General features: G+C 36.6%; 1 protein-coding gene across 11 annotated transcripts in view, besides 2 other annotated features; it reads right to left on the bottom strand.

The window, feature by feature from the left end:
• The window catches only part of GALNT7 (polypeptide N-acetylgalactosaminyltransferase 7), a 155,157-nt gene that overhangs the window by 90,345 nt on the left and 51,138 nt on the right, over positions 1-13,674 (bottom strand). For 2 of the 11 annotated variants that reach the window (XM_047415779.1, XM_047415778.1), the window contains exons 2-4: positions 9,204-9,509; positions 3,590-3,628; positions 910-1,171 (exon numbers count right to left, since the gene is read on the bottom strand). The exons of 4 other annotated variants lie outside the window; for them this stretch is intronic. In XM_047415779.1, the coding sequence (XP_047271735.1) occupies positions 910-987 (78 nt within the window). In that variant the 5' untranslated portion in view covers positions 988-1,171; positions 3,590-3,628; positions 9,204-9,509. Of the gene's footprint in view, positions 1-909; positions 1,172-3,589; positions 3,629-9,203; positions 13,603-13,674 lie in introns of those variants that run through there. 5 more of the 11 variants (XM_047415782.1, XM_047415781.1, XM_017008292.3 and 2 more) reach the window with 4 other exon arrangements.
• Positions 6,437-6,952: an enhancer, noted in NCBI's record as "H3K27ac-H3K4me1 hESC enhancer chr4:174147822-174148337 (GRCh37/hg19 assembly coordinates)". NCBI's record gives its function as "activates a minimal SCP1, AML or CMV promoter by ChIP-STARR-seq in naive H9 embryonic stem cells {active_cell/tissue: H9 hESC(naive)}" and the evidence as "EXISTENCE:reporter gene assay evidence [ECO:0000049][PMID:30033119]".
• Positions 6,953-7,469: an enhancer, noted in NCBI's record as "H3K27ac-H3K4me1 hESC enhancer chr4:174147305-174147821 (GRCh37/hg19 assembly coordinates)". NCBI's record gives its function as "activates a minimal SCP1, AML or CMV promoter by ChIP-STARR-seq in naive H9 embryonic stem cells {active_cell/tissue: H9 hESC(naive)}" and the evidence as "EXISTENCE:reporter gene assay evidence [ECO:0000049][PMID:30033119]".

Here is a 13,674-nt window from a genome sequence, read left to right as displayed (position 1 = left end):
CTTCTTTGGGATCCAAATCCTCAACCACTGCAGTCTGAATTAATCCAACAGTGTCTCCCATTTAATCTATTCTATATATTGCATTTAGACTTAGCTCTGTTAAATACTGCAGATATATGAAAAAATACTCAACATCACTAATCATCAGGGAAATCCAAATCAAAACCGCAATGAAGTATCATCTCATCTGAGTCAGAAAGGTTCTTATCAAAAAGACAAAAAATAACAATGCTGGCAAACATGCAGAGTAAGGGAACTCTTATACACTGTTGGTGAGAATGTAAGTTACAACAGCCATTATGGAAAACAGTATGGAGGTTTCTCAGAAACCTAAAAATAGAACTACCATACAACCCACCCATCCCACTACTGGGTATTTATCCAAAGGAAAGGAAATTAATATATCAAAGGATACCTGCACTGTCATGTTGACTGAAGCACTATTCACAATAGCCAAGATACAGAATCAACCTAAGTGTCCATCAGTGGATGAATGGATAAAGAAAATGTGGTATGTATACACACAATGGAGTACTATTCAGCCACAGAAAGAAATCCTGTCATTTGCAGCAACATGGATGGAAGTGAAGGTCATCATGCTATGTGAAATAAGCCAGGCACGGAAAGACAAATACCACGTGTTCTCACTCATACGCGAGAGCTAAAAAAGTGGATCTCACCGAGGTAGAGTAGAATGATGGCTAACAGTGGCTGGGAAGGGGAAAGGGGTAAAGAGAGATTGGTTAATGGGTACAAACATACACTTAGATAGAAGGAATAAGTTCTAGTGTTCAGTACCACAGTAGGGTGACCATAGGGAACAACAATTTATTGTACATTTCAAAATAGCTAGAAGAAAAGATCTGAGGCATTCCCGACACAAAGAAAAGGAATGTTACAAGCTCACACCTGTAATCCCAGCACTCTGGGAGGCTGAGGCAGGAGGATCTCTTGAGGGTAGGAGTTTGAGACATGCCTCGGCAGCATAGAGAGACCCCCATCTTTACAAAAATTTTTTTTAAATCAGCAGGGCATGGTGGTGTGTGTCTGTAGTCCCAGTTACTTGGAAGGCTGAGGTGGGAGGATTGCTTGAGGCCAGGAGTTCGAGGCTGCAGTGAACTATGGTCGTGCCACTGCCCTCCAGCCCGGGCAACAGAGCAAGACGCTGTCTCTAAAAAAAAAAAAAGTTCAAGGTAACAGATATCCTAATTACCCTGATTTGATCATTACACACTGTATGCATGTATCAAAATATACCATGCCCTCCATAAATATGTACAATTCATATGTATCAATCAAAAATTTATAAAAACCACTGCTTTCTAGTATATGTCAGGGATTTTTTTTTTTTAAGAGACTGAAAGTCTCCCTAACCAGGCTCAAACTCTTTGCCTGGCTTCAGTGTTACCCACTATGTACTCACTCAAGGTGTCCCTGTACTCATTAGTCAGTCACGTCCCTTCAGGAGATGATTTTAAAAAATTATTTTCAGTCCTGCCTCTAGGGTTTGCTCACTTACCAGCCTTAGCCTACAGCACTGCCCTGCTTTCCTCCTCTCTTCCTTCTAAGTTCAGTTCCAATTCCATTTATAAAGACTCAGCCCCCACCATCTGCTCTAGTTCCAGTGATATTTTTCCTCTTATGAATTTCTACTCAATATTTTTATAATTCTCTAACTGTCCTATATGTTAGTTTTTCTTCCCCAACCAGACTAAAAAGCTCTAATTGAGGAGAGTCTTAGTATTTTGCTCCTTTTGCACAGGAAGAGCTTCTGTTATGTGTCTTCCTTTCTCCTAAATTCTGTGCCATTTCTAGTTTCCTTATTTCTACTCCCATATACAAAAATAATAACAGTTATTCAACAGGAAACATGTTTCCTGGCCTCCATATATTTAAAGGAGGGCCTGCCTTATGTTTTTTAGATGGATTTTTGGGGCAACAGCAGTGCAATTTTTGATTTTAAAAAATAAAACTACTAGACACCGTTAAGTATGTTACATACTCCAATCCTCGCAACTATCCAGTGAGACAGGACCTGTAATTTTACTCTCACATTTTATAGTTCAGGAAGCCAAAGATTAGAGAGGAGATCATACATCATTAAGTCACACAATCAGTAAGCCACTGATGTAGGTTTGAACCCTGGCCTGTGACTCCTGATCCTGTGCTGGTGGCCACAATGCTAAACAACTTCAAGAAGACTGCTTGATAATGACTTCTACTTTGTAGAAACCCAGAAATTTACAAAAACAATTAACTCGAGGGGCCTTTAAAACATGCGATTAATATATACTTTAATGTCTCTTTATTCTGCTTTTTAAAATCATGTTATAAGGCTATCTTTGGCAACCAGTTACACCAAAGAAGCCAATTCTTACACTGCACAATGAGATCTGCCTGTCAAAGGTGTTTTGTTCCTTCAATGTGTTAGGTCATGATTTCCCCTGACAGCTTGTGAAATAAAGGGAAAAACATTTTTAAAAATTTGATACAAAGAATTAAATCAGTCTGTCCCATAAGTAAGGACTAAAGTGCTTTTCAACCTATGTTAAGCAGACTGTTCCAACTGAGGTACTACTGTGAATTTTTAGATGTTCAAACTATCGCTCATGAATACTCTTGCCTTTTTGTGAGCAAAAGTAGTGCTGTGGCTATGGAGGAAAACTAAATTATTCACAATTGAGCCTATTCCTATAGCTTTGCTGATATTCTACTCTAACCAAAAATTTATCAAATGCCTGGTTCCATAAAGACAGCAGAAGATAATTACACTATCACAGAATAATTTACTATATTTCCCAGGACATGCTAACTATATTATATATAAGACCAGAGTTCCATTTTTCTCCCCTCCCATAATGTAAGAGGTATCAGTGAGAGAAAGGGAGAAAACCCCTCACAGAGTACTTATCCAGAAATACAACCAACAGTCTGTTTTCTAGGACACATGAAAATGTTCACTATGAAACCCAAGTGAGGATTAGGAGTGACATATCAAAACACTACTTTCATACAGAATAATATGGAATGTTTTCCTAATTTAATTTCTGATTTATATAGTAAACAGATTATACTCATATTAAAACATTAAAAATATGATAGTTAACTTTAACTTTCCCTTACTTTCTATTTCCATTTCTTCATCTTGCTACCTACCACCTTTTAGATGAAAGAAGCAATATTCTAATTTTACCATAACCATGTTCACAATACCAAACCATTAAAATAATCATTTTATTTCAAAAACTTTTTGGCACTTTGAGAGAAGGAAACATAGCAGTAGTTAAGCAACAGGAAGCAACTCTACCCATTAACTGAAAGAATATATAACATATGCTTAAATTTAGCTGGTCTGACACATTCCAACCAACCTCAGTTGATGAACATAAGCTGCTGAAGTGGTGCAACTGAAATTTGCTATCTGTTTGCAACAAAAGGTGAAGCTCTGGCAAATAATATGCAATAATTTATTGGAAGACTACACTGGCAAGTCTCACTGAATATCTCAGTTTTATTTTGCCATACTCTTCTGATGACCCTAAGTCATACAGGTTTTTTGTTTTCTATTGAAAAGGTTCCCTTCTTTTACCTGGTATAATGAAGGTAAGCAGCACATTTATCCTGGTATCTACAAATAAATGAAAAAGGAAGCATGTTGTTACTATAGCACACACTTAAGACAGCCTGCCAATGTGTCAGTCAAAGCATTGTCAAAGTTGGAACAGAACCTCCAAAGGCTTACCAAGAAAAATGGAGATAAAAATGAAAAAAAAAGTAGTAAATCAATTTATCAGAGAAAGTATTTCATTGAATACTGACTTCCATCATGAAGACGACTACAAAGACTACGATAATACGATGAGGAGAAGGTAGAAGAACCCATACAATGAAACAAGCATGATTCTGCCTGCATCATACGTATCTCTTTTAATTCCTGCAACAACTCTTTGAGCTAGATACCACTATTACCCCATTTTACAGTTAAGAAATCAGAGGCACAGAGTTTAAGTAACTTGATAAAAGCCGTGCTCCAAGGAGGCAGTAAAGGTAGGATTCAAATCCAAGGTCTCTGGCTACAGATTCCATGTTCTTAACTATTATACTCTCTCTAGGTCGAGGGAGGCATCCATGCTTTTCATATCCTTAACTAGAATTTCTAGGGAACTTCTAGCTAAATAAATTGATAGTTATCTTTGTAGACTATTTAAATGCTAAAACAAATATATTCCTTAGAATCACTGTTAATTTCAATACATTTATTTCAATAAAAATTTCCTTTATTTTCAAACCAATAAAATACTACTAACTAGAATTCATAATAAAGCAGCTCAGGAAAGGCTACTGTAATAGAAGTAAAAACTTACTATGACGCCCACTAGGGTAGGTGAATATTAAGATGTAATAAATTGTAATATGCAGGAAATGATATACTCATCTCATGTGACTTGACTGCTACAGATAAAAATGAAATACTTTATTTTCAGCTAGTCACTTTGGCACATAGGACCATTAAACTGAGCTACCGTGCTTGCTATTGTGATTTTGCAAAAACACAAAATGGTCTTCAAAAATCTGTTGTCTGCCACTGACAATATGAAGTAAATAAAATAAGGTTTTCAAATTGACACCAAAGAGGAGTTGGCCACCCTTTCCACTGCCTAAGGCATGTTAGTATTCCTGAAAGGCATCCTCAATTTTGGTCACATGCAGATCTCACTAAGATCATTATTTTCAACAAATTTCTTGCACATCTACTTCAGGGTATGCTTACTGGTAGGGTTCCTGGAAGTTAAAAGGCAGTGATGACCTCAAGAAGCATAAAATCTGTTTTTCATAAACATACCAGTGGCTCTTAACCTTTTTAGGGTCACAAAGATCTTAGACCCTCCTAGGCGGGGAAAAAAAGTAAAAACAATTTAATGTTGGTAGAGTTTTTTTTGTAAAGCCATCTGGCTGTGAGTATCAAAATCTTTAAAAGCATTCATTCCTCCTGACTGCAAAATTTCAGACCTGTGAATATATTCTAGGGACACAATTCTAATTACAGAAGAGACATTATGCAGAAATGCTCACTGCAGCCTGTATACTAGCCAATCTACTAGAAACAAACAAAATGCCCTTAATGAGAACAGTTAGAAAAATTATGCTAACTGAACTTAACACAACTGAATAGTATATAATTATAAAACGTTCAAAAAATAATTTTTGTAGAAAATCTTTATATATAATATTAGTTTGAAGAAGTAGAATATACACATTGAATATACATACTGTTTACACCACATCACCTCAAATATGCAAAAATAATAATGGGGCATAGAAATGACTAGAAGAAGAGAGAGTAAAAGCAGTTTTCTCTGGTGATGAGCTTTTGGGTGTTAATTTTTCTCATCTCTTGGTTTTCCTTATTCCCTACATTGAGCACTGCTTGTACAAATTTTCAAAAAATTGTTAAGCTTCCTGTTAAATTTGTTTTTAAAACTATTTATTCAGAAAAAAATTGACCTGCTAGAAAACATTTTATATAACTTGAATATTTTTTCCATAAGGAAGCTCTTTATCATAGTAAGCTATAAAATTTGTTGGCTGCCAAAGGGGTCATTTTACATAATTTAAGGAACAAACAGAAAACACATGACTAGCACAGCTGAAAAGAGGCTCATAGAAACAATATTTATGGCCACAAAATGACTAGGCTGAAAGTTCACACACGGCATAGCTAGCAATGTTTTTCACTTGAGAACACAACCAAACTTGGGGTAGCATTTAAAAAACAGAAACAAAAACCCTAGCTTAAGCGATTTTTTTTAAAAGGTGCAAAAAACACAGAATGCAGTGAAATCAATTATTAATCACTCAATTATCCATCACTTAAAAGCAATGAGAATCATGCTGCATGACCTCCGCCAACATGAGACATTCATGAGATAGAAGTTCAAGTCCTACACAGCACTCTATGTGAAGAGGCACACATCCTTATAAAAAAGAAGGAGGCCAGGAGTGTTGGCTCAGGCCTGTAATCCCAACACTTTGGGAGGCCGAAGTGGGTGGATCATGAGGTCAGGAGATCGAGACCATCTTGGCTAACACGGTGAAACCCCGTCTCTACTAAAAATAAAAAAAATTAGCCAGGTGTGGTCGTGGGTGCCTGTAGTCCCAGCTACTGGGGAGGCTGAGGCAGGAGAATGGCGTGAACCTGGGAGGCGGAGCTTGCAGTGAGCCAAGATCGAGTCACTGCACTCCAGCCTGGGCGACAGAGCGAGACACTGTCTCAAAACAAAAACAAAAACAAACAAACAAAAAAGAAGGAAACAAATGCTCTACCTTACACTTTGCTCTTTAGTGATCTCTCCTACTTACCTGCTCCCAGGTTCAATCTTCCTCAAGATACTTCTTTAAATGGAGTTACATTTTAAAATTTTTAAATTAAATTAAAAATTAAGGTTAAATTAACAGTTTTTCTCTCCAAAGTGGTAGATATACATGGTAAATTGGAAGCAAGGAATTAAAAGGAATGGTTGGACTAATTTTTAGGTTATTTTTCCTTATTAGATTGGCTTTTAACCACATATTAAAGCATATTTGACAAATGCATAATTTTAAGGCATTTCATTTCCAGTTTAGAAAAATTATTAACCAAAGAAAATTATGTTGCTGGGTACTGAGTTTCAACATACTCAGAAATGATTTATTTTTTAAAAACTATAGAACAAACATATTTAAAGTATTTCGAGGTCTTCCAATAAAAATGAAGACCAGAAATACTCCCAAAGGAAGAAGAGAACAAATAGTGCATTTGTAACATAGCCTCACCTCATTTAAATGGAAAAATCAGGCATTTCTTATGCTGAGAGCACATAATCCCATATACAAGGGACCAGGTACACCAGAGGCAGGAGGAGGTGGACGTGTTTCTCTACACCAGGGAGTGATAGCACACACAGCCCTTCTGCCTCCAAGTTCACACAGAAGACAGACAGTTGGGACAGTCAGCCAGCAAGCTGAGAGTGAGTAATTTTCTCCACCAGAAAATCACGGGATGAAGGATGTATGCTGAGTGTCAAAGAGGACGCTTTAACAAAGAAGGGGTTGAAATTGAGGAGATCCTAAGCATGGATTAATATGAAGACTTTCTCTTGCATTGACCTCTTTGAGAACCTTCTCAAGAATGGCTGTAAAGACAAGCAGAGTAAAATGTTGAGGACTGGAGATGCTAAACGCCTGATGTTTAAAAAAAACAGCAAGTTACTGCATAAAAATATTTTGGTTTATCCGATGTAATATAAGGCACGGAGTTAAAAGCTGGTACAACTGGGTTAAAAAAGACTTTGAGTTTATGGTGAATGACATAAGAGCAAATGCCTCTAAATATATATATTCTTCAATGGGAAAAATAAGAAAAGAATAGCCAATAGGGAAAAAGTCTTTATCAAGAAAATTTGTTTTGAAGAAATTATAGCAAATTTACTGGAGATGTGGTGGACACTGTGATCAGCGATCAGTTCTACCCCAGAAGCCCTTTCAGGATTAAAAAACTTATTCCCCTGGCTGCAGAGAGTGCCAGCAGAAGAGGGTCCCCATCCAAGATCAAGCCTCCTTCCAGGGGCAGTCTGCACACAGCGATGGGTCAATGCAGAGGTAAAAAGGCCAGTCCTCTTGCTCCAAATTGGAAGGACTTTGAACAACTACCCTAGCTCCAGAGCTCTCTGTGGGGTTGGTTCAGGACTTGGTAGAGAACCACTTCATAGCTCAGCTTCACTGAGTGGTTGTGGTTGCATCTCCTCCCTTCCAAAGGTATTGATCCCCAGAGATCAATTCTGTTAGATCTGTCAGGTATCTCTAACAACATAAGGCATCCAAATCTCAATCTCAGAGTGCGCTTCCTGGGTAACCCAACCTGTGGCAAAGATAAAACTTGTGTTTTCCTTAGAAAGTAGCTCATTAAGCAGAGTACATATATTTAAGTCAGTTTCCTCATTTACAAAATTGGAATATTAATATATGAGCACAATAAGGTTCCTGCAAGGATTAAATGAGGCACTACATAAAATACTTTGAGTGCCTGGCAATGCTAAATATGCAATAAATGCTAGGCCATTATTAAATAATGTTTTAAATCCTGTTTTAAAAAACAGGATTACTGTTTAAAATCTTCTGAAGAACTGTAAGGAAGATATTGAGGATAATGATAGCCTATGAAAAGTTACTGTTCATGCCAGTAGCTTCTAAGCTCCCTATACCATCTTCCTGCAAATTCTTGATTTTTCTTTTTACTTCCCAGTCAACCCTTTTCCCATTTCCTTAAACATTTCTCCCTGTGCCCAGTAATTCTGTAATTACATTATAACAAAATTATAAAAATGTCTAAGAAGGAAAAAAGAGGGGAGGGAGGATTGAGAGATATGACCCAAAGTAAAACAGATTTCACATATTCCAGCAGTCCTGAGGCTGACTAGGGCAGGAGATCATGGATTGGTTATTTTAAAAATACAAACCTACAATCTGACAAAATTCTATCTCCAGGATTCTAATTCAGAAGATCTTGGGGAAGTGGGCACAGATATAATTATAATTATTATTATTATTATTATTATTATTATTATTTTTTGAGACAGAGTCTCGCTCTGTCGTCCAGGCTAGAGTGCAGTGGCACAATTTCGGCTCACTGCAAGCTCCGCCTCCCGGGTTCACACCATTCTCCTGCCTCAGCCTCCCGAGTAGCTGGGACTACAGGCGCGCGCCACCACGCCTGGCTAATTTTTTTTTTAATTTTTAGTAGAGACGGGGTTTCACCGTGTTAGCCAGGATGGTCTGGATCTCCTGACCTCGTGATCCGCCCGCCTCGGCCTCCCAAAGTGCTGGGATTACAGGCGTGAGCCACCGCGCCCGGCCAATATTTGCATTTTTAAAAACTCCCCAGGGACAGAAAGAATTGCAAAGAAATCTTAAACTTCGTTCAGAATTTTATTGTAATTCAAAACTATATATGTATATATGAATCAAATAAATATATTGCAAGTTTTAAGTGTGATATACAAATATAATTTTTAAAATTAATGTTAAATTTAAATTACAAATACTAACATGAACTCATGATTAAGAGAAATACACATATTTCCTTGCACTGTCCACTGAAAAGGTCAAGAAGCAAAGATACAAGTACAATAGGTATGCCTAACACTTAGAGCTTGATTTATACATACCATCCTTCACTAAAAAGAACTGAGGTTCCTTGAAGAAATGGTTGATTTGGGGTCTGAGGCAGGAAATTGGAAGGTGAGCAAATTTAGTTGTGTCAGAAAGAAAAGTAGCCCTGAAAAAATAATGGGAAAAATTCGATATGGTGAGATCTACTCGAAACGTGGTAAAGGGGAAGGATTACAAATTACCCTAACTTTTTAGAAGAAACTGTAGTCGACCCACAGTTGATAAAGAAATGCTCACCTTTACAGAAGAAGGCCAGCTAATCAATGTAGATGTAACAACAGAGTCTGATGGAACAATAGATTCTGGTAGGGACAAAAGGATGGTTTCCTTTAGGTGAAATGTTAGCAACAGGATATTCACATAGTACCAAACTACCATCCAGACACGTTTGTTATTTACAAAAAAAAAGAGATCTGCTACTTACCACCATGAACAAATGATTAAATACAATTACCAGCGATGAAACAACCTGACGTCATTTGCCACCTGATGTAATGCAATATGAAGTACACACATCAATGAAGAAGTATTTTTATCAATAATGTTTTACCTAAACTCAAATCAAGCCAAGACTTATACAGATAGGTCTATGTATATACACACAGAGGGAGAGAAAGGCAGAGAGAGAAACCAAATTTGTTAAAATATTAACAGCTATTGAATTTAGGAGGTACTTGTATGAATGTTCATTGTACTAGTCTTTCAGCTTTTTGTATATGGGAAGAAAATTTTAGTTATAAAAAGCTTGAGAAAAATAACATTAAAAATGTTCTTTAGGTGATTTTAGTGATCATTCAGCTTGACAAATTTTGGACTGCGGGGGGTGGGGGTCTCATTTATGGAAAAGAGTTAAGTTTATTCCAAGAGTGAAGGAATTCCTAAAGAAAATATGCATAACAAAATGCATTGTGCAGTTCTTTTTCATTTAGTAACATTACTGAATAGTTATGCTACCATTACAGAGTTTTTATATAAGAGCTAGTATGATTTGCTTCTCTTAGATCAAAGTGAAATACAGGTATAACTCAGGTTATATCTTGCTATATAAAAATCTTGCTAATTAAAAAAACTCTATCACTTAATTTATTCACCATATGTATTGAATCATTAATATAGGTTAGAAAAAGGCAGGATATGGTGTGAAAAAGGGAGGGGAAGTTTATTGCATTTAAAAGGCAATGAATGGAGTCCTATGCAGAATAGACTGTGTGATCTGACTTTTTGATGACTACAGTGTGTATCAATGGTTATAATTCTTGCACTCACTTATCAGGCAGCTTTTGAAGGGCTCATCTTTTGTTAAAAAGATTGCTGGTCCTTAGGAAGCTCCATCTAAGTACAAGTGTTTCCTAGAATTAATGTAGAGAAGTGCTGAGGCTAGGATGAAATTTTTTTTTAGGATTCTTATTGTGAAAAAAAATTATCCTATTATTGGCAAAAATGATCCATTGGCAGAAACTAGCAGTCTAACCTCTAACCTTAGCAGTCTAACCTTAGTAGTCATTTTATTTAAAACATCTAACCTTAATAGTCATTTTATTTAAAACATCTAACCTTAGTAGTCATTTTATTTAAAACATCGTTGCAGGTCAATGGTAGAAAGAATTGAGCTCAGCTGTAAAGTGGGAGTCACAAATCCCATTGTACAGCCAATGCCTTCCATTAATTAGCTATATAATCGCAGGTAAATAGCAATTAACTCATTGATAAAATGGGGATAATAATAAGTGTCCAATATCAGTCACAGAACTGTCAAGAAGATCAAATGAGATCATGTGTAGGAGAACACTTTATACAAAAGTTCCATCTAAATGTAATCGATTAAGGAAGGGCAGGCATAAAGTTTCTAAAGAAGTGTTTAGAATGGCTAAATCTTCATTGTTTCAAATGCATAATTTTTAAAGAATAGCTGATTTTGGAGTTCAAGACCAGCCTGGCCAACATGGCAAAACCCTGCCTCTACTAAAAATACAACAATTAGTCGGACATGGTGGTGGACACCTGTAATCCTAGCTACTCAGGAGACTGAGGCAGGAGAATCCTAGAACCCAAGAGGTAGAGGTTGCAGTGAGCCGACATCACGTCATTGCACTCCAGCCTGGGGGTCAGAGCGAGACTCCATCTCAAAAAATAATAATAATAAAATTAAATTAAAAATTGCATTTTAAAACAAACCAATACCAAGCATAAATATGTGGTATAGATTATTAAAGTAATGTTGAGATCATCACTGTGCAACAAATGCCCCCACTCACACAAAGGTTTACTGAGGGTCTGCCAAGCACGCGCTGATACCATGGCCTAGCATGACTCAGTGAACTGTTATGGTTCCTAGTTCTATCATGAGGCAGGGGCAGAGAGTCACACCAGCACTGAGAAACTACAGCATCCAATAGCTTAATTTTATGCCTTCTGAATCGAATTCGGGCTTGTATTTTGTATGCTTTTAAAATGTTCACTTTGTTACTAAGGTTTCTGAGTCATGCTAAAATAGTGTATCTCTCACAAGAACAATCTCTGACCAGTAGTAATTAAAGAATGGGGAAAGTTGAATAAATCTGAATTATATATCCCATTGAAGTAACTGTAATTAATTTAAATCTTTGTTTATGTAATAAAGTCTAGATGTGACAGCAAAACTTAACCAAAATTTGAGTCAGAGCCGAATGTTAAAACTGGAGATATCTGCCTTTTAACTTTCTCAAAGAAAGTTAAAATAGTTCATTAACTATTTGATAGATAATACTATTGAAATATTAAAGTTCTCTATAAATCAAATGCTAAGTTAATTAAGGAATGTTCTAAGTCTGAATCTGGAAACTACAATTTTAGAATGTAGTTTTATTCTATCGGTTGTTCCATAATTTCAATTAGTCTCAAAAAGACCTATAATTTTATTTCATTTATTAGTCTCTCACCAAAGAATTACATCTCTGACCTAATATGATTAATAGCTCTACTCTATTTGAAAAATTCAGCTCAGCATTGATTGCTTCTCCATTTTATTCATGTTGACTTTTATTCCTAGGCTAGAGAATAACTCCATAAGGGAAGAAACTCTTCCTGTCTTTCTTCTGCTGTAACTCCAGCATCTAGTAGATCTCCTGAAATAATAGAAGACATTTATGCAGCCAAGAAACAAATGAAAAAATGCTCACCATCACTGGCCATCAGAGAAATGCAAATCAAAACCACAATGAGATATCATCTCACACCAGTTAGAATGGCGATCATTAAAAAGTCAGGAAACAACAGGTGCTGGAGAGGATGTGGAGAAATAGGAACACTTTTACACTGTTGGTGGGACTGTAAACTAGTTCAACCATTGTGGAAGTCAGTGTGGCGATTCCTCAGGGATCTAGAACTAGAAATACCATTTGACCCAGCCATCCCATTACTGGGTATATACCCAAAGGACTATAAATCATGCTGCTATAAAGACACATGCACACGTATGTTTATTGCGGCACTATCCACAATAGCAAAGACTTGGAACCAACCCAAATGTCCAACAATGATAGACTGGATTAAGAAAATGTAGCACATATACACCATGGAGTACTATGCAGCCATAAAAAATGATGAGTTCACGTCCTTTGTAGGGACATGGATGAAGTTGGAAATTATCATTCTCAGTAAACCATCGCAAGAACAAGAAACCAAACACCGCATATTCTCACTCATAGGTGGGAACTGAACAATGAGAACACGTGGACACAGGAAGGGGAACATCACACTCTGGGGACTGTTGTGGGGTGGGGGGAGGGGGGAGGGATAGCACTGGAAGATATACCTAATGCTAGATGACGAGTTAATGGGTGCAGCGCACCAGCATGTCACATGTATACGTATGTAACTAACCTGCACATTGTGCACATGTACCCTAAAACTTAAAGTATAATAATAATTTTTTTAAAAAAAGAAATAAAACCAAAAAAGAGCTCGCATAGCCAATGCAAGACTAAGCAAAAGAACAAATCTGGAGGTATTACATTTCCCAACTTCAAACTATACCATGAGATCACAGTCACCAAAACAGCAATGATACTGGTATAAAAATAGGCATATAGAACAACAGAACAGAATAGAAAACCCAGAAATAAAGCCAAATACTTACAGTCAACTGATCTTCAACAAAGCAAACAAAAACATAAAGTGGGGAAAGGACACTGTATTCAACAAATGGTGCTAAATGGCAAATCACATGTAAAAGAATGAAGCTGGTTCCTCATCTCTCACCTTATACAAAAATCAACTCAAGATAGATCAAAGACTTAAATCTAAGATCCAAAACCACAAAAATTCTAGAAGATAACCCTGGGAAAACTTTCTAGACAATAGCTTTGTTAGGCAAAGACTTCATGACTAAGGACCCAAAAGCAAATGCAACAAAAACAAAGATAAATACACAGGACTTAATTGAACTAAAAAGCTTCTGCACAGCAAAAGAAATAATTAGCAGAGTAA

Source organism: Homo sapiens, chromosome 4 (genome assembly GCF_000001405.40).
Source record: "Homo sapiens chromosome 4, GRCh38.p14 Primary Assembly".
Classification (NCBI taxonomy): Eukaryota; Metazoa; Chordata; class Mammalia; order Primates; family Hominidae; genus Homo; species Homo sapiens.
Note: the sequence above shows the minus strand (reverse complement) of the source record. Positions and strands in the feature narration are given on the sequence as shown.